This window comes from Homo sapiens, chromosome 9 (assembly GCF_000001405.40).
Source record: "Homo sapiens chromosome 9, GRCh38.p14 Primary Assembly".
Classification (NCBI taxonomy): Eukaryota; Metazoa; Chordata; class Mammalia; order Primates; family Hominidae; genus Homo; species Homo sapiens.
The window spans coordinates 136,533,071-136,559,672 of record NC_000009.12 but is presented as its reverse complement, the minus strand read 5'-3'; the positions used below and the strand labels follow the sequence as shown (position 1 = coordinate 136,559,672).

The window sequence follows — 26,602 nt, the reverse complement described above, 5'->3', positions numbered from 1 at the left end:
ATCTGTGAGCCCAACAGCACATGGAAACTGCCAAGGCTTGGGGCTTGCACCCTCTGAAGCAATGGTCTGAGGTATACCTTTCAGCCATGGCTGGAGCTAGAGTGGCTGGGATGCAGGGTGCCATGTCCCAAGGCTGCACAAAGCAGCAGGGCCCTGGGCCTGACCCATGAAACCATTTTTCCCTCCCAGGCCTCCAGGCCTGTGATGGGAGGGGCTGCTGTGAAGGTCTCTGAAATGCCCTGGAGACATTTTCCCCATTGTCTTGGTGATTAACATTTGGCTCTTTTTTGCTTATGCAAATTTCTGCAGGCTTGAATTCCTCCCTAGAAAATGGGTTTTACTTTTCAATTGCATAGTCAGGCTGCAAAATTTTCAAACTTTTATGTTCTGCTTCACTTTTAAACATAAGTTCCGATTTTGGGTCGTTTCCTTCTTTATGCAAATAAACATAAGCTTTTAGAAGCAGCCAGACCACATCTCGAATGCTTTGCTGCCTAGACATTTCTTCCATCAGATACCCTAAATCATCTCTCTCAAGTTCAAAGTTCCACAGATCCCTAGAGCAGGGGCACAGTGCTGCCTGTCTCCTTGCTGGAGCATAGCAAGAGTGACCTTTCCTCCCTTTCCCAATAAGTTCCTCATCTCCATCTGAGATCACCTCAGCCTGGACTTCACTGTCCGTATCGCTATCAGCATTTTGGTTACAACCATTCAACAAATCTCTAGGAAGTTCCAAACTTTCCCTCACCTTCCTGTCTTCTTCTGAGCCCTTCGAACTGTCCCAGCCTCTGTCCACGACCCAGTTCCCATGCTGCTTCCACATTCTCAGGCATCTTTAGAGCAGTGCCTCTCTCCCAGTACCATTTTCTGTGTTAGTCTCTTCTCACACGGCTATAAAGAACTACCTGAGAATTAGGTAATTTATGAAGAAAAGAGGTTTAATCAGCTCACAGTCCCACAGGCTGTGCAGGAGGGATGGCTGAGGAGGCCTCAGGAAATCATGGCGAAAGGCAAAGGGGAAGTGGGTTCTGTCTTCACACGGCCAGAGCAGGAGAGGGAGACAGCGAAGGGGAAAGTCCATTCCATGATTAAATCACCTTCCACCAGGTCCCTCCTTCATGTGGGGATTACAACTTGATTGGGGGTGGGGGTACACAGAGCCAAACCATATCAAGGAGCAAAGAGGTGCATGTTTCATTTAAAACACAGCCCTCAGGCTGGGTGCAGTGACTCACGCCCGTAATCCCAGCACTTTGGGAGGCCAAGGCAGGTGGATCATGAGGTCAGGAGATTGAGACCATCCTGGCTAATACGGTGAAATCCCGTCTCTACTAAAAATACAAAAAATTAGCTGGGCGTGGTGGCGGGCACCTGTAGTCCCAGCTACTTTGGAGACTGAAGCAGGAGAATGGCGTGAACCCGGGAGGCAGAGGTTACAGTGAGCCGAGATTGCACCACTGCATTCCAGTCTGGGTGACAGAGCAAGACTCTGCCTCAAAAAAAAAACAAAAACAAAACAAAAAAAACAGCTCTCCCTGCTACAGATTGTGGCCAATGGAATTTTCTTCTCTAAAAATTTGCTTGTTTGCTTTGTTTGAATTTTTAGCATAGGGGGAAAAAAAACTACTTTCTTTTTCTTTTCTTTTTTTTTTTTTTTTTTGAGATGGAGTTTCACTCTGTCACCCAGGCTGGAGTGCAATGGCGCGATCTCGGCTCACTGCCACCTCCGCCTCCCTGGTTCATGCCACTCTCCTGCCTCAGCCTCCTGAGTAGATGGGACTACAGGCTCCCATCATCACACCCAGCTAATTTTTGTATTTTTAGTAGAGACGGGGTTTCACCATGTTGGCCAGGCTGGTCTCGAACTCCTGACCTCAGGTGATCCACCTGCCTCGGCCTCCCCAAGGGCTAGGATTACAGGCGTGAGCCACTGCGCCCAGCAAAAAAGCTGTTTTCACGTGTATAAAAAAAATGTAACTAAGTGGTGCACCTGTAGTCCTAGTAACTTGGGAGGCTGAGGCAGGAGGATTGTTTGAGCCCAGGAATTCAAGTCCAACCTGGGCAACATAGTGAGACCCCTGTCTCTAAAACAAAAAAAAAAAAAAGTGACACTGATAAATAAAACATGTTTGTTCTTCCTAATTTGGCCTTGAGGTGAAAAAAATGTTGCTCCCCATGAAGCTGGATGGAAGAGTGGAGACTGGAGAGGCCCAGGCCACCCCCAACCGGCTGACCACAGCGGTGGCCCCAGTCCTGGGGTTCTCTGCCTTGGTTTCCCCACTTAGGAAGCTTAGAGGCTGCCCTGGCTCAGCTGTGACCGAGAGGATGGCATCCCCCATCAGCAGGCTATGCCCCTGCCTGGTCTTCTCTGTGTCTGTCCCCTCAGCTGCTCTCCACCCCTACCCCGGGGTCCCTCTCCCCTTGCCCTGCAGGGCTCTCTCGGGGACGGGCCTTCTTGCAGCTGACGGGTCCCAGCAGAGGTTCCCTGCTCGGGAGGAGCCATTCCACGGGAGGGGTCAGTGGCAGAAAGGCCATTTCTTGGACTCTGGGCTCCAAGGAGCTGGGGCTCATGCTGGGGATGTGGGTGGGAAGGCTGCCCGCAAAGGCCATGTCAGCCGAGAGAGAAGCTTCTGGGTCCTGCCTTCTCCAGGGAGCCTCTTGAGGACATAGGCTGAGTCTGCCTCAACCTGGGGCCTGGCTGGGACTGCCTTGTGTGCAGCCGCGTGAGGGGCTGGTGGGTCCCTTTGAGGAGATGGACCTGGGCTCCTCCCCTCTGTCTGGTGAGGGAGCTCCACACCTGAGGTCCGTCCTTCAGGTTCTGGGGGGAGGGGTCCCGTCAGGAGGCTGTGGGCTGTGGGGGAAGAAGGGCCCAGAAATACAATCCCACCACTGCTAAGTCCTGTTGCTATCCTCCTGGGCCCACTGCAGATGGGGCCACCCTGCCACCCGCGGATCCCCCTGGCACAGCCCTGCTAGGACCTTTCTATGGGGATGAAAGGGGGTCTCAGAGGGTGTGGCCACTCACCAAGGCCCACGTGAGAGGACCCTGGATCATCCTAGCTCCTTTGAACTGGATGCTCCGGGGCCACCTCCCTGTTAGGAATGAAAATGCCGCCCTTTGCATGACACGAGGAGCCAACTGCTTCCGCCAAGGGCTCAGGCATGGCTCTTAGGGGATTCGCACGCATCTGCGTAGGGCTGGACTTCTCACAGTGGACTCCCACTTGCTGGGTTAGGAAACTGAGTCTGTGCGGGACAAGCTCTGCGGGACGGTGCCCCGGCCGGGATCCAGGCGGCTGGCTGCCCACCACCCTCCCCAACCCTCTGTCTGCCCACCGGAATGTGGCCCTTCCTGGGGGAGCCAGTGACTGCCCAGCCTGGGATCCTGGAGCCCCGGCCCTCCTGGCAGAGCTCACACTCTGGCAGGGTCCGAGGAGCTTTTTGGCGACCCGGCCACTCATCCATCCAGGTTCAAGTTAACTTCGGTGAAGATTCATTGTCATTCTGTGTCTCATTTGCAAGCTGAAGATCATGCTGCTGTCTTTGCCTCTAGTCATAACGCACTCCGAGCTGGGTGCGGTGGCTCACGCCAGAAATCCCAGCACTTCGGGAGGCCAAGGCAGGTGGATCACTTGAGGTCAGGAGTTCGAGACCAGCTTGGCCAACACCGTGAAACCTCATCTCTACTAAAAATACAAAAATTAGCCAGGCATGGTGGTGTGCACCTGTAATCCCAGCTACTCGGGAGGCTGAGACAGGAGAACTGCTTGAACCCAGGAGGTGGAGGTTGCAGTGAGCCGAGATCACACCATTGTACTCCAGCCTGGGCAACAAGAGTGAAACTCCGACTCAAAAAAAAAAAAAAAAAAAAAAAAGAAAAGAAAAAAAAAAAGCACTCCCGTAGAGAGAACCCAGCGGGTTCTGCCACTGTCCCGAGTCACGCTGAGAATGCGAGGGTGTAGGTGTCAGCCCTGGGGGACGCTGGCCCTGACACAGGCTGGCTTCCAAGGAGTCTTGTCCATGAGGATTCAAGGTGGCAGACATTGATTTCATATTCTAAGGAAAAGACAGTGCAGCTCCTTTGGGAAGCTCGGCCTCCTGGCCCGCTATGCCTCAGCCTGGCCCCAGACACAGCCAACAGGGCTGACGTCCTCGGGAAGACGCTGTGACCTCAGACAGGCCTCGGGTTTCACCTGAATCCCAGGGGCTGGGACCTACCCTTGTTTAGTTTCCACGCGGAAGCCAATTTGGGACGTTTGTGACCCAGACGAACCCTTTCAGTGGTTTTGTCCTTTCTTTGGAGAAGGGACTAGGACGAAGAAGGCTGGACTCATGGGGCGGCCCAGGGCACAGCTGGGCCCTCGTGTTTCTCCGTGCGTTTTCCAGAAAGCCTCCAGCCCTGCCTCAATCATGGGTTGGCTCTGTCGCTATTCCGAGTTTCACCGTTGTCATATTTGAGCAGAACTTTTGCCCCGACCAGGGATGAGAACGTCGTCTGCCAGTCTCCTCTGCAGCCGGAGTGGCCACAGGCAGGCAGAGGGGGAAGGCAGAGTCCTCCAGCCAGGAAGAGCGCCAGGCCAGGCAGCCTCTGCTGTGTAAATCGACAGGCTTAAGGCTGCTCATTATGTGGTTTCACCTGAAGAGCGACCTGCCGTAGCCACCGCCAGCAAGCGTGTATGGAGGCCGGTGCCTGGCGAGCGTCGGGGAAGCTGCTGAGTCCCTCACTTCCCCCAGTCAATCCCGGCAGCCTTGCGCAAAGCTTGGTTAATTCAAAAACTGTCTTTGTCTGCATTAAAACACCTTTATCCCTGGTATTAATTTCCTGGCCAGAACAAATTACCAAAAATTTGGTGGCTTCAAACCGCAGAAATGTGTGCTCTCTCAGTTCCGAAGGCCAGAAATCCAAAATCTGGGTGTCACAGGACCGGGCCCCCTCCCAAGGCTCTAGGGAGGATCCTTCCCACCTCCTCCAGCTTCTGTTGGGTGCCGGCAACCCCTGTGCTCCCAGCTTGGGGCTGCACTGTCTCCAGCCTCTGCCTGTCTTCCCAGCGCCTTCTCCCCAAACCTCCCTCTCCTGCCAAGGGCCCCAGTCGTTGGATTAGGGCAGGCCCCACTCCAGCATGGCCTTGTCTTAACTCGACGACATCTGCAAAGACCCATCTCCAAAACAGGTCCTGCTCACAAGCTCTGGGGGTATACAGCGAGTCTTTTGGGGGAATACGAGTCAACCCACAGCCCCCCATGAGTGACGAGTGACAGACCTGGAGCCCACTCCTGGGGGTGGAGGGAAGCACAGAGGAGGAGGAGAAGGGTGTGGACGGGGCTGAGCTTGCCCCATCATTGAAGGGACCAGCCCACAGGCCTGGCCCAGGCTGGAGGCACCAGCGAGCACTGGCTGTCATTAATCCTGGGCCCCAGGGTTGGTCCACAGGGCCAGGGTGGCCAGGGTCGGGGTGTGCTCAGAGCCACTTGGCTGGAATGTTCTTTCCCAGATGCCTGCATGCAGGAGGCTCACTGTTCACATCTCCCCCTTTCCACGAGGGCCTCCGTCCTGGCCACTGTCCCCCCAGAGCCTACGCTGCAGGGAAGGGGCTCCGCGAATACACTTTTGAGTCCAGGGGAGGCCCTCCTACCCCTACCAGGTGCACGTCCTGCTGCTGTTTGGATCTTCTCAAAACCTAAGTCGGTCATCTGTGCCCAGTGTGAGGGCGGCTGGCTCCACAGTCCAGGCTCAGCCAATGGGAGAGGCAGGGTCCTGGGGGCCTCTTCTTACAGCATCAGGTCTGTTCCTGCCCACCAACAGGTGGACAGATGACAGACAGAGAGGCCGGTGCGGCCTGTCCAGAGCTGCTGTGCTCGGCACACCTCAGTCAGGGTCCCTGGGCCCCGTCGGTCCTCCGCAGCGGTCTTGGAAGAACAGGGCCTCACACAGCCCTCTCCCCAGCCGTTCTCTTTCTGGCTCACAGAGCGCCCAGGCTCTAGGGGCTGCAGCCCGGGGGGGCTCCATGCAGTCGGCATCTGCGTTCCTTCACTCTTCTTCCCTTGAATGAATTCCAAGCCCCACTGTTCTAAGGAGGACCAGACGTTACCCCAACCACACTCAGGACCCCCAGCTTTGGGGAAAGGAGGACAGACCCGCCCCCCATATGAGTGAGGGCTGCCAGCAGGGCGGAGAGAGAGGGGGCTGGTGTCAGATTCATTGCAGTGGCCCCCTTCCCCCCCTACACTGAGGAACTCCCAGGCACGGAGGGACTCTCCAGCCAGCCCCATGTCACCAAGGAGAGGTGGCAGAAGGGAGCCCCCCAACATAGACCCTCGCTCTCGCCAGAAGAGTCCTGGGCTCATCACCCCTTCCCAGCCCTGACCTCAGTCGATGGGAACCCAAGAGTGAGGAAACCAAGACATTCTCTGAGGCCCTCCCAGAGACCCTTCAAGACCAAAAGGCTGGCCAGGTGCAGTGGCTCACGCCTGTAATCCCAACACTTCGGGAGGCCAAGGCAGGCAGATCACCCGAGGTTAGGAGTTCAAGACCAGCCTGACCAACATGGTGAAACCCTATCTCTATTAAAAATAGAAAAATTAGCTGGCGTGGTGGCACATACCTGTAATCCCAGCTACTCGGAGGCTGAGACAGGAGAATTGCTTGAACCCGGGAGGCGGAGGTGGTAGTGAGCGGAGATCGCCCCATGACACTCCAGCCTGGGCAACAAAGTGAGACTCCGTCTCAAAAAAAAAGACCAAAAGGCCATGAGATGCACCCGGTAGGGGGGTCCTCAGTGTCCCAGATACATTCGCCACCCCTGGGGCAGGCTCTGAATTCAGGTCCCTGAACGTGGGTCTGTGTGGCATCCCCAGCAAGGAGGGGAAGGGGCCCAGGGGTCCCCATGTCTGCTGCACCACCACAAGCCCCTGGGAACAGGCAATGCCATCCCAGGGCAGCCTCTGGCCTTCACTTGCTACAAGTGAGTTTATCCCCCTCTCCACTCTAGAGATAGTCGGTCTGATTTATGTCGTGCAAAGGCCCTCAAGTGATTAGAGTATCCCTCGGAGACAGGCTCTGGGAGGCGCTGGGAATCCATGCTTCCAGCTGGGGCCACGCAGTCACAGCCACATGAAACGCTCAGACTTTTCTTGCTGATTTTTGAAAATTATTGCACCAAATGTTTACCAGTGAAATGCTGATCGTGATGATAAGAAGGCTGGGGAGGCCAAGAGAAAAGGGAAGAGAGAGTGCAGCTGCAAACCCTTCTCCGGGCCCGAGAAGCACCGCTCTCCTGCGTGTTCAACTGGCATTTGCCACCAACATGTCTGTTTTTATTTAAATGGCCCAGAGCAAGGCTCTGACTAAACTAGCATTCCCACGCCAACACTCAGCAGCGCCTCTGGTTTTTGGCAGATTTTTTCCTTAGCTGTCAAAGCAAAACTATAGAAGCGTCCTGGTCTTACTTAAGGCTTGTTGGGGCTTTTTGCCTTCCCCCGGAGACCCGAATAGCTCGCAGATGTGCGGTACCTGCTTATGTTCGTGCTCCGTGTTACTTCACGAGCAGAATTCCCCGTGCTCTCTGTAACCCACACCCCGATTTCCAGGCCCATGTTCATTTGCAGAGGGGGTCCGTGGGGGTCCGCGGGGGGGAGTATGGGGGGACGGAAGTTCTCAGCTTGTTTAAATGTGTCTGGAGCAAATGGGGGGAAACCCCGGCCACCTGAGAAACTCTCGCCTCGGGCGGCTGCTTCTCCATCACCCCAGCGGTGAGGTCAAGGATGGCCCAGGCTCCACTTGGGGCACCAGGCACAGGTCGGGGTGGGGTGGGGGGTGTGGTCAAAGTCCTTCAGGGGCTCCTGGCTCTGCCGGTGGCTCCTCCGGGGCAAAGGACTGTGCTTTGGGACACCAACATTGTCCCTCTAAGATTAAAATAAACTTTTTTAAGGGGGTTTTCCAGCTATTTTTACCCTCAGAAAAGAAGAAAGGCAAAGACGGAGGAAGGGAAGAAGATGAAAGGAACGAAAGAAGAGAGGGAGAGAGGGAGGCAAGAAAGAGAAGTAAAGCAAAGAGAAAAAGAGGGAGACCGAGAAAGGGGGAAGGAGGAAGGAAGGAGAGGGAGGGGGAGGGGCCAGCCCATCCCGGCTTTCCCAGTGACTCAGCCCTCGGAGGAGGCTCGGGGTTTGTACCAGAGCCCAAGGGGTGGAGCCTCGAAGTTTCGTCCCCCGGGGCTCTTACTTTTTGGAGAAAGTTCTGAGGTGAGGTGGGCAGGGGCCAGGCAGGGTGGAAGATCACCCCCACCACAGGCTCTGCAGGGGTCCCTGGGACTGAGTAGTTTGGGATCATGGGGGTCTGGGGGTAGTGAGGGGGCATGGGGGGTGCAGATGGACCTGGTGGCCAAGCTCTGCCACCCCACTCAGAGCCTCTGTGCCCCCATCCAACAGCCAGGCATCGTGACAGCCTCCCTGTCTGGTCCAGCCCCCCACAGCCCCTACCTGGAGGTGCCAGCCCTGGTGCTAAGCCGCCTCTGTGCCCATCCTCCTGATGTCTCTCCTCCTGGAAGCCCCCTGATTTGGGCAGGCCTGGCCAACTTCCCAGTGCATGCACCCCTCAAACGGCACGCCAACCAGGGCCCCAGCCAGGCACTGCCTCTGCCGTCTCCCTGGGACTCCCTGGAAGCAGCAGAAATGGGCCTTTGGCTCCCAAGTGACCCAACCCCAGCCCAGGCTCCACCCACGCTCTGTGGGCTGCTGAGGGGACCTGGGGTCCTGGAAAGGTCTGAGTGGGCTCCCCACTTCTCAGGGCTGGGAGACCATACCCAGGCCTATCTACTGTCTTTCCCACTGAGGTCTGTGCTCTGAGCAGTCTAGGGGCTTCCAGGGACAGGCAGGTGGGTCTGAGCCCTGAGCCACGTGGAAAGGACGGGCAGGTGGCCTCCACCTGAGATCTGCACTGCACCAGCCACCCCCCAGGCCCAGCTCTAGAATGACAATGCCAGGTCTGCCCCATGGCCAGTCCTGCAGCTCTCGAGGCCTACACCAGCTGGGGCCTTCTCAGCTCACCTGCTCAGGAGGCCCAGTGCCTGCCCGGGGACTTGCCCGGGCAACTCACTCCCCCAGCCTCTGTGCAGAGGGGAACAGCAGGGCCTGCCTCTCGGATGCTGACCCTATCCCATGCCTCATGGGCAGCAAGGGGGGCAGTTTCTGCATGGGGACCACTGGAGACACTGAGTAGACAGGGCCCCGGGCAGAGTCCTGGCCACAGCTGGGGATCACTGTCCTGGCAACTGGGTCCAGGGAGGGTACCAGGCGCCTGGCGGGAGGGCTGGCCACAGCAGCAGGCTTGCATGGACAGCCAGTTGACTTTGCACCAAGAAAAGCCCCTGCCGGGTCTGCGCCCACATTCCTTCAGCTTCTTGCAGTCACAGGTCAGTCAGCAAACCTTCCGGAGCCTCTGGTGTGGGTCGGAATGGTAGGGATGGGCTCTGCCTCACACACAGAGAGTGGGCCAGGAAGGCTTCATGGTCAGGGGTGCTCAGACGGCCGAGAGCCTCTGGGATGGCTGAGGAGTCTCAGGGACACGTGGGAAAGAGACCCCCTCGGCAAAGGACGAGGCCTGCAACAGCAGAGCAGGGAAGTCCCCGGCACAGACCGAGGGGTGCAGGGCATGGGGAGCCCCTGTGGGGGCCAGGGTGAGATGCCCAGCACCTGCAGGCACCCCTGGGCCTGGGTGACGGTGGCTGTCTGCACACAGCAGGGGACCAGGAAGCAGATTCCAGACCCCAGCCTCCTCAGAACAAGGGCCGTTCTCTGTTCTCAGAACAAGGGCCGGCCCGAATCCATCCTAGAGCAAGGACTGCCAGGTGCGTCACAGCGGACCGCCCAGCACAGGGGACCAGGTAGCAAGCGAGACACTGAAACCACATCTGGAAAAATGCCCAACCTCGAGGAAATGTCCCAAGTTCTTTATAAGTGGAGAAAGGCAGATGGGGCTTTAAAAATCACTTGGTGCAGCAGAACCTGAGGCCCGGCGGCCAGCGAAGGCCCCACGGTGTGCCCGATGGTCAGGGGCTGCAGTGGATGGGGACGTGGAGGCTGCGTAGGAGGCACCCTGGAGGCTGGACACCCTGGAGGCCTCTGGGCTTGAGCTTTGCACACAGGTCAGATGTTTTTTACAGTCAGCTTCAAACGGTGAAGGGGCCCTACTCCTAGGTGGTCTGGAATGTTCCCACAGCTGCCTGGTGGTGGCCCCCACCCAGGACCCAGCAGGGTACCCGCCACAGGACGTCCCCGCACTCGGCCCCGCCTCAGAGCCCCCACGCCCCCTGCTTTCAGTCCCAGGGGCCACTCCAACCTGGCCACGCCAAGCCATGGTCCCTGCACCGAGTCCAGCCTGCTGCCTTGGGCGGTGAACAGACTGTGAGTGTGGGGGAGGGGAGGAGTGTCCCCCAACACCTCCTGGGGGTCCCACTTACCCTACTGGATGACAGCAGCTGAGGACCAAGGCCTGGCTGGGCCTTGAGCTGGCATCCTCATGATGTCTCTGAGCCTCAGCTTCCCTCCTGAAAAATGGGGAGCATCATGCTAGCCGCCCCCCAGCGCCACAGGGTCATGGGGGCTGCAAGAGCCAAGATGAACTCCTGCAGGAAGGAAAGGGGCCTTGGGCTCAGCACCGGGAGTCTCAGCCCTGGCTGCTCCTTAGAATCTACTGCAGAGCTTTCAACACAGGCACCCCTCAAATACACCCACCCACCAGGTCACTGCTGACCCCCCTCTACTCGGACCACATCTCTCTGGGGCCGGAGCCGGCCCTGGGGTGTTTTAAGGTCACCTGGGTCTCCATGAGCTCCGTCGCTGTCCCCGTGTGCTCACCAGCTGTGCTTACCTCTCCACGCACTTAGGGGTGTGCTCTGCTCTCGAAAGTCCCCACAGCAGCCGCAAAGGAGGGGCCTGGTTGGGCCAATGTCAGCAGGGCCTCCTTAGCTCACCCTGACAATGGTACCCCCATTTCTCTGGCAGCAAACAAGGGGGAACTGACCCAGTTCAGTCTCCTGGGGTGCAACGCCTAAGCCACTCTCCCCTCAGCACCCGCAGGGGGCCTCTGAAGAAGAGAGGGCTGCAGGACACGTCTGCCTCTCCCCTCCGCAAACCAGGCTCTGCGGCCCCATCTCATCTGCTTCCAGGCTCCCTGGCCAGCTTGGGAACAGCCCCATTCATTCGGGGTACCCCTGGAACCTTGCCCCAGCTCCCACCACAAGTTGGGACAGGAAGCCCAAAGTGACTCCTACAGGGGAGGCCTGGCGGCACTGCACCCCAATTCAGCTTCTTGGGGTCCTAGCCCCCACCCTCCCATTGGGTTTCTGGAGTGGCTGGGGTGCCCTGCACACAACCTGCTCTTGTTTCTCTTTAGTCCCCGCAATGCCCGCTGCCCAGGGCTGCCTCCCGACCTGTAGGAGAAGGTCTCCAGGCCCTAGGCCAGCAGATGTACTCCTGTTGTGTCAGGACCCCAGCCTCCCCCGACTGCCCACACCCGCTGGCCTGACAAAGAGGAATGGGGAGCCCGGACAACTTGTGAATGAAAAAGCTTCTCACCTACTTGCCAGGGGCCTACCCCCTTCCCAGGCTGGTGGGGAGGTGAGGCCCATCCCCCTCATCCCTGGCTTCTCCTCGGCCACAGCTGTCCATGGGGTACTCCCGGCTGTGGGTGGTGCAGGGGTTGGGAGCTGGGAGGCCGAGGCCTGTGCTTCCCTCGGGCCTGTGCACCCGGCCGCACCATCCGTAACGCGGGCTTATGAGCGTGCCTGGCTGCTGGGTGGCCTGACGGGTGGACACCGAATGGGCCACTCTCTTCTCTGCTGGTAGAGGATGGAGGCCCAAGGTGGAGGTGCTGTCGGCACAGCTGGGGCAGACCAGGGGAGACCCCCTATCCAGGGATCCCCTCCTCCCCTCCCAGGCCGCCCCTCCGCAAAATGCTGAGGACTGGCCCCCGGGCCTGGGCTACATGGGCCATTACTTCTGGCCTGGGGCCCACAGGCAGAGATGCCAATGGAGGCACACAGGCAGTCGCACCCGCACCCGATCAGCACCAGGCCTGAGGCCTTCGGGCCTCCCTATGCCCCACCCCACCCCCACCCACCAGGAGCAGAGGACGTCGTGGTGGGCAGAGTCCTCAGCCTGGGAGCTGCACAGCCCCGCGCTTCCTTCTATGGAAAATCTGCTCCTCCAGGCTGCCTGGCTGCTGTTACATAAACATCTCTGCTGCCTCCAGGCGCCTCCTCTCCTGGGGCGCTGACCCCAAGATGTTACCCCAGGCCTGCAGAAGTGAGGCCAGATTCTGGGAGGACGCAGGCGAGGGAGGCTCCCAGCAGCAGCTACAGGGGCGGGACAGGCCGCCTGCACTGGCTGTTTCCAGAGTGCTCAGCATTTGGCAAGAGGTGTGCCAGGAAAGGCTTGCTGGGGTCAGGTGTGAGATTTGTCCTGCTTTCTGTGCCTGCCTCTGCCACCATGCTCTGGGGTTTCTGCAGCCCTCCCCCCAGGCCCCCACAGTCCTAGGTCCCTCCCAGCCTTTCGGTCTCCCCGCAGGGCAGGCTTAGCCCTCCTACTCCAGGAGGGGCGCCGGGACACGCGCCTTCTGCCATCGCACTCACCACCCTGTGTTGGGGTGGGGAGGGGGCGCTGTCTGTCCCTGGCACGAGGCCGTGAACTTTGCGCAGGGACTATGGCAGGCATTTTGGACTCCTGGCGCTTAACCAGGCTTGGCACAGGGTGCCCGTGCCTGGCATCGTGGTGGAGAAATAAATCAGCCGGAAGGAGCACGTGGGAAGGGCTGCGCCGGCGCCAGCGGCAGATCCGCCCGACCCGTTTGTGCTTTCTGGGGCCACCTTAGGCAGGCGGCGCCCGGGCAGGAGGAGGACGGTGACCGAGGAGCGTGTCGACGCGGGTCCCCCTTGGGGGAGCGGGGCACAATCCGTCCGCGAGGCACTGGTCCCGGCTGCTCCCTCGGGGCGCCCGGAGTCCCCTGCCCAGAGGCCGCGGCGCCCCCATCCCTCGCGGTCAAGTGCTCGGGCAATCACGGCCAGGGATGTCTGGCGGCGATCGATCCTCTGGACGCCTAAAGCCGCGGCCACGGGGCCCTCGGGAGGGAGTGAAGCCGCTGGGCTAGGGGCGCACACACGGCTAGGCCACTCTCCCAGAGCCCTGCCCCGGGCCCGGGGTCCCCCAACGTGGCCTCAGCTGCTCCCCGCCCGGCCCAGCGCACGGTGCACACGGCTGTCCGCGGCCTCGCCCTCCCCATTCCGCCCCGGGCTCCTCCGCTTATTCACATGCAAATTTCAGTCGCCAGTTGTCGCCGAGCGCGGCAACCGCCAGAGCCGGATCCTTCCGCAGCCCCGGCTCAAACTTTTGGCCTCTGAAAACTTTCAAACGAGAAGTAGTCCCAGGCGCCCGCTCCCGACCCACGCCGCGCCGCCGGGTCCCTCCTCCCCGGAGAGGCTGGGCTCGGGACGCGCGGCTCAGCTCGGGGAGGCGCAAAGGCGGACGGGGCGTGCGGGAGGAGGTGGCCGCGGAGGGGGCGGGGGGACCGGCGGGGGTGGGGCCGGGCGGGGCGGGGCCGGCGGGGGCGGAGCGCACCTCGACTCTGAGCCTCACTAGTGCCTCGGCCGCGGGAGGGAGCGCAAGGGCGCGGGGCGCGGGGCGCGGGCGCGGGCGCGAGCGCAGCGAAGGAACGAGCCGGGCGCGGAGCCGGGCCCGGGGGCCTGCGAGAGCACAGCGCCGCCAGCCAGCCGGGGAAGAGAGGGCGGGACCGTCCGCCGCCGCCCCGGGACCGTACGCCGCGCGTGTGCGTCCCAGCCCCGCCGGCCAGCGCAGGAGGCCGCCGCCCGGGCGCAGAGGGCAGCCGGTGGGGAGGCATGCCGCCGCTCCTGGCGCCCCTGCTCTGCCTGGCGCTGCTGCCCGCGCTCGCCGCACGAGGTAGGCGCCCACCCACCCGCGAGCCCCCACTTTCCGCGCCCTTTGGAAACTTTGGCGGCGCCCGGCGCGCGCGCCCCACGGCTGGGAGCGGGCGGCGGGGAGGCCAGCATGGAGAGGGAAAAGCGGGCGGCCCGGGGCGTGGGGTTCTGGAGTCCCGGGATCAGGGAGGACCGACCTTCCCCCTCGATCCCCCCGTGGAGGCGGACTCGCGCCGCCCGTGCCTGGAGCCGAGTTAGGAGGCCGGTGTGGGGTGCTGGGGCCCCGGAGGCCCTACTCCGGGCCCGCCCTTCACCCGCCGCGCGTGGGGCTTGCCGCCGGTCGGCCGGGCGGGCGGGCTGCCTACTATTTTTCGATTTGAATAGAGTCGGTTTTGGTTTCCTGTTGCTTCTCCGGGCCATTTATCTTCTTTCTTCTTCGCCTCTGGCCCACGCCGGGGCGGATGTTGGGGCGCGGAGTGTGGGCTCTGCGGCGCCGCGTTCGCCTTCACTGACCCGCGCGGCCGGGCTGGGTCCCCGGGCTCCCGGTCGCCCCGCCCGCCGGTGCCCCCCAGCCCGGCTCTCAGTTTGGGGGAGGGGTTGCGTAAGAAGCCGCCGCGCCCGGGGGGACTGAACTTTCCTTTTGCTTTGCGGAGTTGAAGTTTGGAAAGCTTGGGGGCGGAGAGCGGGACGCGGGTGGGGGGCTCTTACATTTCTCCCCGCCGCACAGCGAGCGGGGTCTCTGGGGAATCGAGTGATTAATCCACTCTTTCTCCGAGAGTTGGAGGCGAGAATTATCTGTCCTCTTCCAGAAAGTGCGGCTCTGTGTCACACCCCCCTCCCCCGTTTCTCAGCCCCGGTAAGATGGGGAGGGAGGGGCTTGAGTAATTGATCCCTTCTCGAGATGGGGTCGAATTCCTTCCGAATGGGGGACCTTCATCCCCCTCCTGTGGGTGTATGGGGGCTGCCCTGGAGATGCGCGCCCGCGGAGGCAGGTATTGGGTGTCGGCGGAGGCGGGGCCGCGTCCCCAGGGTGCTGTCCCGGTGCCCCTGGAGGCGGCCCCGACTCCACAATGGGCCGCTCTGATTCTGAGGCGGAGGCCGGCGCTTTGTTGGCGGGCGGGGTAGCGGGCGAGCAGCTGTCGCATTTTCCCACGGGCGGGAGCTGAGTGTGGCCACCCCCCCTCCCCCCGTCCAGCTCTGCCCCCTTGCAGAACGGGTTTGAACAGAGGCAATCTCGGCGGCTGGATGGGGGGCCCTGCCCTGCCAGACTCCTCAGTGAGCCTCCAGGGTGGGGGGCAACGCTTTGGAGAGTAGCCCACTTTGTCTCTGCTTTTCCCCCACTGCGTCCAGGCGGCACATCAGGCCACCCCACCCTGCTTCAAGCAGGACGTGTTCCCTGCTGCTCCCCTTCCCCCCATTTCTGACTACAGAACTCTGGGCAGAATGTTGACGCCCCTTTGGTTTCATGGAGGGGCTTCCTGCGGACCCGTGCCCCAGCAACCCATGATACTGAGCAGAGTGCGTCCGGGGTAGGGGGCGGACGATGCCCCTTGGCTGGGTGCAGGTCCCCGCCCCCAGGGTAACCAGGGCCTTCGGTGGTGGTGGTGCGGGTGAGACTGACCTCTCTTCTCCTGCCCCTGCCTAGGCCCGCGATGCTCCCAGCCCGGTGAGACCTGCCTGAATGGCGGGAAGTGTGAAGCGGCCAATGGCACGGAGGCCTGCGTGTGAGTACCACCCCTGCGGGACCTGTTGCTTTGTCGAGGGCAGAGCCCCTGCCTTCTGCAGCCGCGCAGGGGACAGAACACTAGGCCATTGTCTTCTGGAGATGGCCCAGAGTCTGGGCACGGTCACGTGCTGACTTTTATTGGACAAAGTCTGGCAATTACTTAATCACCAGCAATTATGCTGCGTGTGGAGCTGGTCTGGCTGCTGAGGGCTTGGGCACTCCTCCGTGGGCCACCTCAGGCTCCGGGGTCACTAAGTGGGAGTCCCAGTACCCCAATTCTTCTTTAAGTCCCCAAGAAACAGTTGATCTGCCAGGGGAAGCTCTGGACCATTTACTGAGAGGCCCAGCCCCCACCACCCTGCCAACTTGGGGCGCCTCCTCTGGGCGGGTGATGCCTCCTGGGCACAGGTGATGCCTCCTCTCGGGGGTGATGCCTCCTAGGTGGGTGGTGATGCCTCTTGGGCTGGTAGTGATGCCTCCTCTGGCACAGGTGATGCCACCTCCTGGGCGGGTGATGCCTCCTCTGGGTGCGTGATGCCTCCTGGGCTGGCGGCAATGCCTCCTCTGGGCACAGGTGATGCCACCTCCTGGGCGGGTGATGCCTCCTCTGGGTGCGTGATGCCTCCTCTGGGCACGGGTGATGCCACCTCCTGGGTGGGTGATGCCTCCTCTGGGTGGTGATACCTCCTCTAGGTGGGTGATGCCTCCTCTGGGTGGTGATACCTCCTCTAGGCGGGTGATGCCTCCTCTAGGCACAGGTGATACTTCCTGGGCAGGTGATGCCACCTCCGGGTGGGTGATGCCTCTTCAAAGGAAATTGACTCTTCAAAATCGGACCCGCCTTTGGGCTCTCTGTTTGCCCCAGCTCCCTCTTCCCGGCCTCAGGCTGGGGCTGGGGAAGAGAAGGTGGAACTCATGTTTTGGCGTGGGGTGTGGGGTAATTATTGAGTCTGGTTTCTGTCCTGGCATCTGCAAACTCTGACCTCAAAATCCCGTGGCCCTTCTGGTCTGCCAGCCTCAGATGTAAAATGGGCACTGAGGGGGCCGGGAAGTCGTGCGGAACCGCTCCCTCCTGCCTGCCTGTGAGTGCCCATCAGCCGTGGGGAACTGTTCTGCTGTGGCCGATGCCCTTCAACTTGAGTCCATCCCTGATGAGAATAATGAGGAGGTGTTTGGTGTCTGGAAAAAGAGTTCCCTCCGCCCCCCAGGAGCTACAGATGAAGAAATGGCTCCCCAGCCAGTCTGCGCGCCCTCATTCCAACTGCAGAAGGTCCCATTCCCTTGACAACCCCAGCCCGGCTCCTGCCTGTGCCGACTGCCCAGCCTGTGGGCAGCAGGCCCCCTCCCTCCCCGGCCCCCACCCTCCCCAAACTGAAGCCAATTAAGCAGGTCTGTGAGCAGTTTAATGGACAAAGCCGATTGTGTCTTTGTCAGACACTAATGAATGCGCACTACTTTTTTTTTTTTTTTTTTTTTTGCTTTTTGGGGCCCCCTTCTCCCTCTGCAGAAGCCGCACGGACGCTTGATGCCCTAAATCTTGTTTCCTTTCATTCAGAGACCGACAGCTGGGATCCAGGGGAAGTGCAGCAGCTATTGTTGGGGGAGGCGGATTAATGCCGTGTGATTAATTATGCGTGGCTTCCCAGAATGTATAACCCCCTTCCCCGCCACTGCGCTCCCGGCTCGGACTTTGCCTCTCACCCATTCGGGGCTCTGGGAGAAGCTTCTTGCTCCTGCAGAGGACTTTGGGAGGGTGGGAGGAACACCGTGCTGGGAAAATTGGGGGCCTGTTGCTTCTTCTCAGTGGCACCAGGGAGTAGGCACAGCCTGGCCCACAGGGGTCTGGGACTGAGGTCTCCCTGGGCCAGAGCGCTGTGCTTTGGGGTACAGATTGCTGCAGCTCCCTGGTGTCTGGGTTAAAACCCTGCCACAGGGCCGCAAAACACTGGTGTCATGGGCCCACTTTCCCATTCCCCAAACCTGGGATCCCGGTGAGCTGTTTCCAGCCCAAGGCAGGCCGCCGACCATGGCTTTGGTGCCTGGCCTTGTCCCCTTTGCTGGGGCCTGGCGCCCCCTCCTTCTTGGCGGGAAGCCTGCTTCAGTTTGGCCTGACAGGCAGCCGAGCTCAGCCCACAGAGACCCCATTGTGCACACCCCACAAGTCCAACGAGAAGATGGGACGGAAGCGCGTCCTCAGGCTCCTGCTTCTGGGCCGCAGAGTTGGAGGCCAGGGCCACAGCCGAGCCCGGCTTGTGGAGGCACAGGTCAGGGCTCACACAGCAGTCTGGGGGACATTGCAGCCGCTTCGGAGAAGGCCCCGGGCTCCCTCCCTGGGCTTGAGCCCCACCCAACATACACCCCTCAGGTGCCTCTGCCTTCCCGTTCCTGCCCATCCTTCTCAGAAGGCCCAGGAGGTCTGTCCAGGAGTTAGCCAGGGCACCTGCAGGAGGCCTGGCTCCCCCAGCAAGGGGAGAAACCCACACTGTTTCTCGAAAGAGTCTGGGGTGCAGGCTCTTGGAGCCCTGCCAGCCTGAGTGGGAATCCTGGCCCCGTGGTATCCAGCTGTGACCCCGGAAAGAGCTTTGGCTTTTGGTGCCATTTGCTGCCTCCGCTGTAGAAGGGGCATGGTCATGATGGGCGTCACAGTGCCTGGCTCACTAGTACTGGGTGAATCATTTCTTTCCATCCCAAAGAGAAGGAACCTTCACCGGAAGCTGCCAATCAGGTGGTTGCAGGGCCCGGGATTGGAAAAAGTGGTTTTGTTGGTGCAAAATGCCTTCCCAGGAGGTCAGAGTGTCGCCGTGGCCTGGTCAGCCAGTGGCCAGGTAGAAAGCACCTGGCAGCACATGCTGGTGGGCGGAGGATGGTTGGTCTCTGGGCAGCTGCTGTGCGAGGTGTGGCCGTGGTGGCTGTGGTCGGAGATGGTGGCCTTCTGAGCAGGCCCAGGGGGTCACTGTGGCCCTTGGCTCTTCTCTAGCCCCCTCATCAGCTCCGTCAGTGTGAGCAAGGGGTACTGAAGAGGGCTCCACCTTTTTTCTCTTTGTTTTGAGGAGAGCTGGGAAGAGCTGCAGGGACCCTATCTGTCTGGGTGAGACTACGTCCTTGGTCTGAAACGCTCTCCCAGGGCTGCCTGCGTCTGGGCTGGGCGTTGAGGCAGGGGGCAGCTAAGATGTTGGCTGCTGACGGCAGAGTCAGAATGGCACGGGGCGTCTTCCAGGAGCTGGGAGAAATGGGGGTAGGCTGTCACACCCAGCACCTCCAGGAGGATGTCCAGCTGCCTGCTGGGTGGTGCGCTTTAGCTTTGGACAACCTCGTGTCTGAGGCCTGGCCTGGCCACTAGCTCTGTGACCTTGGGTCATCAGGTCATGCAAGCCTCAGTTTCCCCAGCATGTCAGCCGGGCTGATACACGCTGGATCTCTTGGTGGTGTGTGAGGATTGCATGAGAACCGTGTGGAGAGGGCACCTGGTCAGCGCTCCTTTCTTCCCCGCCTTCTCCCCGTTGGCTGACAGTGCTGGTTTCCAGAGCCTCCTTCCTGAATGTTTAATTGATTGACGAGTGAATTCAGAGAATCCTAAAGGTGCTGCCTGGTGGGCTGGGCCTGGCACTGCCTGGGGAGGGACTTGCCGGCTCTGGGGAAGTCCATCTCCCAGGATGGCTCCAGCTCCGGGGAAGTCCATCTCCCAGGGTGGCTCCAGTTCACAGACACGTTTGAGCGCCTGCTGTGTGCTGCGTTCTGCTCCAGGCCAGGCCCCCGGTGGGGACAGGGCAGACATGGCCCCTGCTCCTGTGGAGTTCACTTCCCAGCAAGGCGTGAGAGAGGCACCTAGCTCACATGTGGGACATGTTGGGGGTGTGCCGGCCCGGTGGTGGCCTGGCATAGCTCCCGGCAGCCCCGTAAAGCTGTCTGGATCAGGCACCGATAAGTGAGAAGAAGAGACCCAGAGAAGTCGCCATCAGCCCCAGGGTCACACAGCAGTGGCAGAATTCCTACTAGCCCTGCCCCTCTCCTTCTCCCAAGCGAATGTCCCTAAACACAGCCCCAGCCAGCCTGAGCTGCCCCGTCATTTCCCGACTACAAGCGGACTGGGGGCGTGGCTTCCCCTTAAAAGAAGAGGAAGGAGGCTCAGGCGGGAAGTGACTTGGCCCTGCAGCCGGCCTGGGAGGCTGGGGAGGGACGGGGTAGCTCCTGTCACCCGGTCTGGCTCTTTCCATTGAGTCACCTGCCTCGTCTTGGGCGTGGCCAGGGGAGGAACAGGTTGATTCTCCTCCTCATGCTGAGCTGAGCGGAAAGGCCTGTGACAGGACCTCCTGTTTATGCAGAACCTGGTCTTCAAGGGCGCCAGGGTTAGAAAAACATGTTTAAAAACATGCAGCATCCGAGGTGGGCAGATCACCTGAGGTCAGGAGTTCAAGACCAGCCTGGCCAACATGGCGAAACCCCCGTCTCTACTAAAAATACAAAAATTACCCAGGCGCAGTGGCGTGTGCCTGTAATCCCAGCTACTTGGGAAGCTGAGGCAGGAGGATCCTTTGAACCCAGGAGACGGAGGCTGCAGTGAGCTGAGATCGTGCCACTGCACTCCAGCCTGGGTGACAAAGTGAGACTCTGTCTCAAAAAAACAAAAAACAACAAAAAAAACCCCACACAGTGTCAAATAGAAAGTCTCACCTACTCAGACTGGGGAGACATCAGGAACAGGAAGGCCTGGGGCGGAGACTGGGGTGGGAGCCTGGAGTGCTCTGAAGGAAGCTGGCTCCTTGGGGCAGGCCCTGCCTCTGAACAGCAGCCAACATGTTTTCCATTGAAAAGAATAATAATAGAAAAAGAGAGAGGGAGAAAGAAAACAGCAACCCTGGCAGGAAGAGGGTAGGGCAGGGCAGACAGTGCACCAGGGGAAGTGCTTCCACAGGGCAGAGCTGGGTGCGGGGACCCCCAGATGCGGGCGGCAAACTGGAGACCCCACAGGAGCCGGGACTGGCTTCATTCCTCATTCCCTGCACCTGTGATGGGCAGCAGCGGCCACCGGTGCCCACTGGGCAGTTCCAGGCCGGGCCGAGGGACTGCACCCTTTTGCTGTGGGGAGGGGACCTTTCCTGTTTCATGTCTCGTCTATAAATAGTGAAAGGATGTGGCTTTGCAGAATCGATTGGGCGTCTAGCTTGCCTTCCTCAATAATGCAGCGATGACAGCTCCACACTCAGGACGCCGCTGTTACCCAGCCTCGTAAAAGCCCTGGCAGACGGCCGCCCACCCTCCAGGTGTGCCAGTGCAGTTTTCATCCCCAGCGCACAGGTGGGAAAGCTGTGGCTGCGAGGGCGTGGGGATCTGAGGCAGGCTGGCGTCAGCTTTCACCTTCATGTGCAGGCATATCCAGAACTTTCCGGATCTTTCCCCGGGCTGAGGAGGAAATACCAGCAGCTTTAACGAGCGGCTGGCTTTGGGGCATCACACCTGTGGGCCGGGCTGCGTTTGACGGCCTCGAGTTTCCCAGGCAGCGCTGGCGCTTTCTCCTGTGGGGCCCGGAGCTCCGAGGGGCTGTGAAGCAGGGCTGGCTCTGATTTGCTGTGCTCCCCACACTGTCCCCTCCCTGGGCCTCAGTTTCCCCATCTGTATGTGATTCCCCTTCCAACTACAGCCAGCGGGACCCTGGGGCGGGCTGAAGGCGTGGTGGTGGCTGTGGGCCCTGCGGCGAGGCCTGCGCTGGGCTCGGTGGTCGCCCCAGCTGGGGAAGGGGCAGTGGCTGCAGGGGTGGGAGGGTGGAGGGAAGCCCTTTTCCAAAGTTGCCTGGTTGGGTTCTCCTTGTGGCCCTGCCCCACCCCACCCTGCTCCCTGGGAGCAAAGGGAGCTAAGGACTGGTTTGGGGATGGATATGTATATGGAGGGATTCTGGGTGATGACTTATTCATATTACAAAATTTGCCTTTTTTTGTTTGTTTTTTGAGATGGAGTCTTGCTTTGTCACCCAGACTGGATTAGAGTGACGCAGTCTTGGCTCACTGTAACCTCTGCCTCCCAGATTCACGCGATGCTCCTGAGTAGCTGGGACTACAGGCACATACCACCACTCCCAGCTAATTTTTGTATTCTTAGTAGGGGCAGGGTTTCACCATATTGGTCAGGCTGGTCTCAAACTCCTAACCTCAGGTGATCCACCTGCCTTGGCCTCTCAAAGTGCTGGGATTACAGGCGTGAGCCACTGTGCATGGCCACTTTTTTGTTTTTTGAGATGGGGTCTCACCCTGTCACACAGGCTGGAGTGAAGTGGTGGGATCACGGCTGACTGCAGCCTCAAACTCCTGGGCTCAAGCGATCCTCCTGCCTCCGCCTCCAGAGTAGCTGGGACCACAGGTGTGCACCACCATGCCTAGCTAATTTTAAATTTTTTTGCAGAAGCGGGGTCTTGCTATGTTGTCCAGGCTGAAAATGTGACTTTTGAACTAAAGCATGCTGTTGCTTGACATCTAGTCCATTCACAAGTTCATTCAACCACTATCTAGTTCCGGGACTTTCTCACTGCACAAAACAGAAACTGTACCCAAATACTGTCACTCTGCCCTGACTGCCCCAGCCCCTGGCAACCACTAACCCGCTTTCTGCCTCTGAATTCGCCTCTTCTGGACGTTGCCTATGAATGGAATTGTGCCATAGGTGGTCTTTTGCCCCTGGCTTCTTTCACTGAGCGTGATGTGTTTAAGGTTCATCCATGTCACGCGTGGACTAGAACTGCATTCTTCTGAGGACTACATTTTAGCCTCCAGAAGCATCAGGGACTGGCCAGAGGTGGACCCCAGCATCCCAGCTCCCAGACAGTCCAGAGGAGGCAGGTGTTGGGAGGGCGTCCGGGGTGGCTTCCTGGAAGAGATGGCGCTCACTCTGGGCCGGTGCAGCCACCCGACAGCCACAGAGCCCCCTAGAGGGAGTCCTGGCATATTCCCAGGTGAACCTGTAGGATGGACTGGCGTGCCCGCGGCCCCTGTCCTGCTCAGGACTCCGAGACAGGCTCACAACCTGTCCCTGGGCCTCACTCATGCCAGCCGCCAAGCTGTTCAGCATCCCTTAGCCCCCAGGAGGCACACAGTGGGGCCGCGGTCACTGAGCGTCCACACGCCTGGTGCTGTAAGAATGCAAAGTAGAGGGTCTTTATTGAGCATCTACTACATGCTGAACCCTGGGGTATGGGTGGGCACGGCAGATGCAGGCCCCCCTGGGCAGGGGAGGAGCATGCCCCTTAAGAACCAGGCCACAGGATGGACGGGCTTGGCCACAAGCTAGGGGTAGTCACTGCAGCCTTCATGGCCTCCTGTGTGCAAAGTCAGTGCTGTGGGACCCCATCTGGGTGCACCTGCTGTGGCTTTCAAGTGAGGCCCACCACGGAGCAGCTTCCACGCTGGCTGGGACAGGGTCAGCGGCAGGGAGCTCCAGACCAAAGGAGCGGCGGTGGCTGGGGCAGCGGGGGGCAGTGAGGCTTTGGACACATCCATGGGGCGGGCAGGCATCTCAGCCCCCACCCGCCCAGTCTGCCTGCTCCGGGGCCTTCCCTTCCCTGGACAGAGCTCTGTGTGATTGGCTCCAGGCTGCTTCTCCCCCTGGACCCTCAGGGTCAGCTTAGAGTGACTGGCTATGCCCTGGCCTAGATCCAGGCCCGTGTGACAGGAGAGAGCTAGGAACCTGGCCCCTCACTCTGAGACACAGATGGTGTCCTCTCCAAGTTGCCCTTGGGACGGGGAAGCGCCATGTCCCCTGCAGGGCACCAGGCCAGCCAGTGGCCCTTGACAGCGAGGCCCTGTCTGCAGGCAGCTGGGGGACTTCTCCCTGTCGGGAGGATGCGTGCGTGTTAGCATCGGGGTGCCTGGTTGCCCCAGGGGTGGTGCAGGGCGGTTATAGGCGGTCCTAGCATTTTGGGGTTGCTTTCAGTGTATCTCCGAGACCTGTGGAATTCTGGGAGGAGAAACTCCCCAGCAGTGTCCTCAGTGCGCCCCCCTACCCTGTACCCGTTGCTCCTGGGAGGGATCCTGAGTGCTCCCCCCCACCCACCATGCACCCATTGCCCCAGGAGGGATCCTGAGTGCTCCCCTCTCCACCCACCCTGCACTCATTGCCCCGGGAGGGATCCTGAGTGCTCCCCCCTCCACCCACTCCCACCCTGCACCCATTGCCCCTGGGAGGGATCCTGAGTGATCCCCCCTCCACCCACCCTGCACCCATTGCCCCTGGGAGGGATCCTGAGTGCTCCCCTCTCCACCCACCCTGCACTCATTGCCCCGGGAGGGATCCTGAGTGCTCCCCCCTCCACCCACTCCCACCCTGCACCCATTGCCCCTGGGAGGGATCCTGAGTGCTCCCCCCGACCCACCCTGCACCCATTGCCCCAGGAGGGATCCTGAGTGCTCCCCTCTCCACCCACCCTGCACCCATTGCCCCTGGGAGGGATCCTGAGTGCTCCCCCCTCCACCCACCATGCACCCATTGCCCCGGGAGGGATCCTGAGTGCTCCCCCCTCCACCCACTCCCACCCTGCACCCATTGCCCCTGGGAGGGATCCTGAGTGCTCCCCGCCTACCCTGCACCCATTGCCCCTGGGAGGGAGACTTCTGTAGAGGCCTCACCTCTGAACCCCCCACTCACAGGCTCAGGGGCCCAGGGCTGGGGGCGTCCTGCCGTCTACACTCCAGATTGAGCCCGCACGGTTAAACAGGGCCCTCTCCGCACGCCCTGCCTAATGCAAAGCGGTGGCTTCGGGTGGGTCCCCAAGGGGCCTTGTGAACCCTGGGGGCCTGGCCCCTCCCACCTGGCTGCACCCGCTGGGCGGGAGATCCCATCCTCCGAGTCCTCAGCCCCTCAGCCTCAGCTGCAGCCCAGACACCAGGGCTCTGTGGGGCGGGGGTGGGGCAGCGGTTCCCTCAGGTCTGTGGGGCTGCCCTGCTGTGGTTCCTGCAATTTCCTGGAAGGAGGTCTGGGGCCTGGTGTCCAGTGGGGCCTGTGGGGACGGACTCGGGGGCTCTGTGGGGAGGGACTGGGGGCTCTGTGGGGACGGACTTGGGGGCTCTGTGGGGAGGGACTGGGGGGCTCTGTGGGGAGGGACTGGGGGCTCTGTGGGGAGGGACTCGGGGGCTCTGTGAGGAGGGACTGGGGGGCTCTGTGGGGAGGGACTGGGGGCTCTGTGGGGAGGGACTGGGGGCTCTGTGAGAGGGAACTGGGGGGCTCTGATGTGCTGGGCGTGCACAGGGGAGGCTTTGCCTCTGACATCCACACCTGCAGTTCCCAGGCACACACAGCGGCCCCATCGGGGTCCTCGCAATCACAGTCTGTGAGTGGCCACTACCAAGGGCGTCTCCGGATCAGGCCAGGCCCAGATGCTGCCCGGACCCAACCCCCACAGCGCCTGCCGCCACAGTAGGGACCAATGGCCACAGAACACTCACCCGGCCTCACTTGCACGGGGCTGTTCAGTCTGGTGGGCACCAGGTGGGCGCTGTTCTCGCCCAGTGGGAGGCCTGCCAGCTCCTTGGTTGCTAGTTGAGATTTTTCCCCAAGAAATAGTCGTGTTGTTCCTTCTGCTCCGCCTGGCACTGAGGTTGGTGACACGCCCCGACCTTGCTCTAATTGGCAGATGAGAATTTGTCATCAGATGTCGACCCTGTCTACGCAGTCCCCTGGCCTCGGAGTCCATTGTGCATCTCTGAAGGGCTTGAATTGGTTGTTTAAAGCTGGGTAAATGCCCCCTTGACATTCTGTTGACACTGTCAATTTGCTGAACAAACTCTTCCACAGGTAGCACAGGAGGCCAGTCTCGCCCCAGCCTGAGCCAAGGCCCAGGGAGGCAGGTCCTGTGTGGAGTCAGCCTTTTTGTGAGTGCAGCGGCCCTGCAGGATGCACCGGGTTTGAGAAGTGGACTCCCCCGTCTCCCGCCACATCCCAAAAGCCCTCAGCCATGAGGGCAGGACGAAGCCGACGGTCGCCCTCGTGCCGAGATGACAACCGGGCACAGAGGCGGTGGCTCCCAGCTTCCTGCCCTCTTCCCCGTAGTGGGGTTACCCAGCGTGACTCATGGCCCGAGCCACAGGCACCCGCCCAGGGAGCCACGGCGGGGAGACCTGGCTTTATTAGAGATGCGTTCGTGCCTCATCAAGTCCAAAGGAGGAAACTGGCGCGTCCCTCACTTTCCCTGAAACAGGCTCCCCCACAGCCCAAGCGGTCAGGTTAAGGTGCATTTGCAGACAGATGCCCTAGTAGGAGGCTGGAGCTTTTGGCCCAGAATTTTCCCTGCTGTAGGCCCATGGTCACCGAGCCTGCCCGGGGGCTGAGGCCCTGAGGAGGTGCCATTGCCCCACCCAAGCCTCAGACAAGTGTCCTGCCCTCGACCCTGCGGGAGGCAGCAGCTCAGGCCCTGACCCTGGCCAGAGAGGGCAGCTCTCTGAGGCTGCTGTGGCCGTGGCAGGCAGGGGCTGGGCTTGCCGGGCCGTCGAGTGGGCACAGAGACTATCTGGGAAGGAGGTGGGCGGTGAGAGCTGACTCCCCGCAGCCGGGGGACAGATGAGCCCCGTGCCGCACAGCAGGGCCGCGTGGTGGGGCCCCCCAAGTTCCGCTCGGTTTCAGCTGTTGACGAGCGGAAACACACAGTTACTGGAAATGAGAGGTTTGGGGGAGCCGCCAGGGGTTGAACATGTGTGGTTTCCCTGACGGCTTTTCAGTAAGAGATGCTTGAGCTCAGGCTGGGCACTGGCTGGTGCGCGGAGGGGGCTGGGCCAGAGTCCCCCCCTTGGGCCTCCACTCTCCATCCTTATAGAGGGACCTGGGTTGGTCCCAGCTCCCGGGGTGCAGCCCCTGGGTGGCCCCTCCTACTTCCCCTTCAGTGGTCAGAAGGAGGCTGGCCTCATTCCTGTCTGACGGAGAGCCAGGTGGGGAGGCCGGGCGGGGCTGAGTGTCCAGGGTCCACATGGTGGCGGGG

General features: G+C 60.7%; 1 protein-coding gene, 1 long non-coding RNA gene and 1 other non-coding gene across 4 annotated transcripts in view, besides 21 other annotated features; 2 read left to right on the top strand and 1 right to left on the bottom strand.

Annotated features, from left to right (window-relative positions):
• Positions 7,127–7,176: an enhancer, noted in NCBI's record as "active region_29316". NCBI's record gives its function as "activates an Ori minimal core promoter by ATAC-STARR-seq in GM12878 lymphoblastoid cells {active_cell/tissue: GM12878}" and the evidence as "EXISTENCE:reporter gene assay evidence [ECO:0000049][PMID:35858748]".
• Positions 7,507–7,576: a silencer, noted in NCBI's record as "silent region_20530". NCBI's record gives its function as "represses an Ori minimal core promoter by ATAC-STARR-seq in GM12878 lymphoblastoid cells {active_cell/tissue: GM12878}" and the evidence as "EXISTENCE:reporter gene assay evidence [ECO:0000049][PMID:35858748]".
• Positions 8,209–9,120: an enhancer, noted in NCBI's record as "NANOG-H3K27ac-H3K4me1 hESC enhancer chr9:139445005-139445916 (GRCh37/hg19 assembly coordinates)". NCBI's record gives its function as "activates a minimal SCP1, AML or CMV promoter by ChIP-STARR-seq in naive and primed H9 embryonic stem cells {active_cell/tissue: H9 hESC(naive and primed)}" and the evidence as "EXISTENCE:reporter gene assay evidence [ECO:0000049][PMID:30033119]".
• Positions 8,209–10,032: a biological region, named in NCBI's record as "MED14-independent group 3 enhancer GRCh37_chr9:139444236-139445435".
• Positions 8,690–9,889: an enhancer, noted in NCBI's record as "MED14-independent group 3 enhancer chr9:139444236-139445435 (GRCh37/hg19 assembly coordinates)". NCBI's record gives its function as "activates an origin of replication core promoter dependent on BRD2, BRD4, P300/CBP and CDK7 cofactors, and independent of MED14, by STARR-seq in HCT116 cells {active_cell/tissue: HCT116}" and the evidence as "EXISTENCE:reporter gene assay evidence [ECO:0000049][PMID:35650434]".
• Positions 9,030–9,149: an enhancer, noted in NCBI's record as "active region_29315". NCBI's record gives its function as "activates an Ori minimal core promoter by ATAC-STARR-seq in GM12878 lymphoblastoid cells {active_cell/tissue: GM12878}" and the evidence as "EXISTENCE:reporter gene assay evidence [ECO:0000049][PMID:35858748]".
• Positions 9,121–10,032: an enhancer, noted in NCBI's record as "NANOG-H3K27ac-H3K4me1 hESC enhancer chr9:139444093-139445004 (GRCh37/hg19 assembly coordinates)". NCBI's record gives its function as "activates a minimal SCP1, AML or CMV promoter by ChIP-STARR-seq in naive H9 embryonic stem cells {active_cell/tissue: H9 hESC(naive)}" and the evidence as "EXISTENCE:reporter gene assay evidence [ECO:0000049][PMID:30033119]".
• Positions 9,929–11,831, bottom strand: NALT1 (NOTCH1 associated lncRNA in T cell acute lymphoblastic leukemia 1). The gene is made up of 3 exons (NR_121577.1): positions 11,572–11,831; positions 10,455–10,541; positions 9,929–10,127 (listed from the first exon to the last, which is right to left on the bottom strand). It is a non-coding gene; the product is annotated as an NOTCH1 associated lncRNA in T cell acute lymphoblastic leukemia 1 (long non-coding RNA).
• Positions 11,857–12,768: an enhancer, noted in NCBI's record as "H3K27ac-H3K4me1 hESC enhancer chr9:139441357-139442268 (GRCh37/hg19 assembly coordinates)". NCBI's record gives its function as "activates a minimal SCP1, AML or CMV promoter by ChIP-STARR-seq in naive H9 embryonic stem cells {active_cell/tissue: H9 hESC(naive)}" and the evidence as "EXISTENCE:reporter gene assay evidence [ECO:0000049][PMID:30033119]".
• Positions 12,961–13,060: a silencer, noted in NCBI's record as "silent region_20529". NCBI's record gives its function as "represses an Ori minimal core promoter by ATAC-STARR-seq in GM12878 lymphoblastoid cells {active_cell/tissue: GM12878}" and the evidence as "EXISTENCE:reporter gene assay evidence [ECO:0000049][PMID:35858748]".
• Positions 13,401–13,960: a silencer, noted in NCBI's record as "silent region_20528". NCBI's record gives its function as "represses an Ori minimal core promoter by ATAC-STARR-seq in GM12878 lymphoblastoid cells {active_cell/tissue: GM12878}" and the evidence as "EXISTENCE:reporter gene assay evidence [ECO:0000049][PMID:35858748]".
• MIR4674 (microRNA 4674) lies at positions 13,414–13,500 on the top strand. The gene has a single exon (NR_039821.1). It is a non-coding gene; the product is annotated as a microRNA 4674 (primary transcript).
• The window catches only part of NOTCH1 (notch receptor 1), a 51,616-nt gene continuing 38,638 nt past the window's right edge, over positions 13,625–26,602 (top strand). Inside the window, exons 1-2 of one of the 2 annotated variants that reach the window (NM_017617.5) lie at positions 13,625–13,947; positions 15,571–15,649. In NM_017617.5, the coding sequence (NP_060087.3) occupies positions 13,887–13,947; positions 15,571–15,649 (140 nt within the window). In that variant the 5' untranslated portion in view covers positions 13,625–13,886. Of the gene's footprint in view, positions 13,948–15,570; positions 15,650–26,602 lie in introns of those variants that run through there. The other variant, XM_011518717.3, reaches the window with a different exon arrangement.
• Positions 13,981–14,240: a silencer, noted in NCBI's record as "silent region_20527". NCBI's record gives its function as "represses an Ori minimal core promoter by ATAC-STARR-seq in GM12878 lymphoblastoid cells {active_cell/tissue: GM12878}" and the evidence as "EXISTENCE:reporter gene assay evidence [ECO:0000049][PMID:35858748]".
• Positions 14,461–14,510: a silencer, noted in NCBI's record as "silent region_20526". NCBI's record gives its function as "represses an Ori minimal core promoter by ATAC-STARR-seq in GM12878 lymphoblastoid cells {active_cell/tissue: GM12878}" and the evidence as "EXISTENCE:reporter gene assay evidence [ECO:0000049][PMID:35858748]".
• Positions 14,741–14,790: an enhancer, noted in NCBI's record as "active region_29314". NCBI's record gives its function as "activates an Ori minimal core promoter by ATAC-STARR-seq in GM12878 lymphoblastoid cells {active_cell/tissue: GM12878}" and the evidence as "EXISTENCE:reporter gene assay evidence [ECO:0000049][PMID:35858748]".
• Positions 17,260–17,942: an enhancer, noted in NCBI's record as "H3K4me1 hESC enhancer chr9:139436183-139436865 (GRCh37/hg19 assembly coordinates)". NCBI's record gives its function as "activates a minimal SCP1, AML or CMV promoter by ChIP-STARR-seq in naive H9 embryonic stem cells {active_cell/tissue: H9 hESC(naive)}" and the evidence as "EXISTENCE:reporter gene assay evidence [ECO:0000049][PMID:30033119]".
• Positions 18,182–18,476: a silencer, noted in NCBI's record as "tiled region #6589; K562 Repressive non-DNase unmatched - State 14:Gen5'". NCBI's record gives its function as "represses a minimal TATA promoter and a strong SV40 promoter by Sharpr-MPRA in K562 cells {active_cell/tissue: K562}" and the evidence as "EXISTENCE:reporter gene assay evidence [ECO:0000049][PMID:27701403]".
• Positions 19,311–19,995: an enhancer, noted in NCBI's record as "H3K4me1 hESC enhancer chr9:139434130-139434814 (GRCh37/hg19 assembly coordinates)". NCBI's record gives its function as "activates a minimal SCP1, AML or CMV promoter by ChIP-STARR-seq in naive H9 embryonic stem cells {active_cell/tissue: H9 hESC(naive)}" and the evidence as "EXISTENCE:reporter gene assay evidence [ECO:0000049][PMID:30033119]".
• Positions 20,156–20,823: an enhancer, noted in NCBI's record as "H3K4me1 hESC enhancer chr9:139433302-139433969 (GRCh37/hg19 assembly coordinates)". NCBI's record gives its function as "activates a minimal SCP1, AML or CMV promoter by ChIP-STARR-seq in primed H9 embryonic stem cells {active_cell/tissue: H9 hESC(primed)}" and the evidence as "EXISTENCE:reporter gene assay evidence [ECO:0000049][PMID:30033119]".
• Positions 20,214–20,273: an enhancer, noted in NCBI's record as "active region_29313". NCBI's record gives its function as "activates an Ori minimal core promoter by ATAC-STARR-seq in GM12878 lymphoblastoid cells {active_cell/tissue: GM12878}" and the evidence as "EXISTENCE:reporter gene assay evidence [ECO:0000049][PMID:35858748]".
• Positions 20,284–20,373: an enhancer, noted in NCBI's record as "active region_29312". NCBI's record gives its function as "activates an Ori minimal core promoter by ATAC-STARR-seq in GM12878 lymphoblastoid cells {active_cell/tissue: GM12878}" and the evidence as "EXISTENCE:reporter gene assay evidence [ECO:0000049][PMID:35858748]".
• Positions 20,844–20,983: a silencer, noted in NCBI's record as "silent region_20525". NCBI's record gives its function as "represses an Ori minimal core promoter by ATAC-STARR-seq in GM12878 lymphoblastoid cells {active_cell/tissue: GM12878}" and the evidence as "EXISTENCE:reporter gene assay evidence [ECO:0000049][PMID:35858748]".
• Positions 24,280–24,329: an enhancer, noted in NCBI's record as "active region_29311". NCBI's record gives its function as "activates an Ori minimal core promoter by ATAC-STARR-seq in GM12878 lymphoblastoid cells {active_cell/tissue: GM12878}" and the evidence as "EXISTENCE:reporter gene assay evidence [ECO:0000049][PMID:35858748]".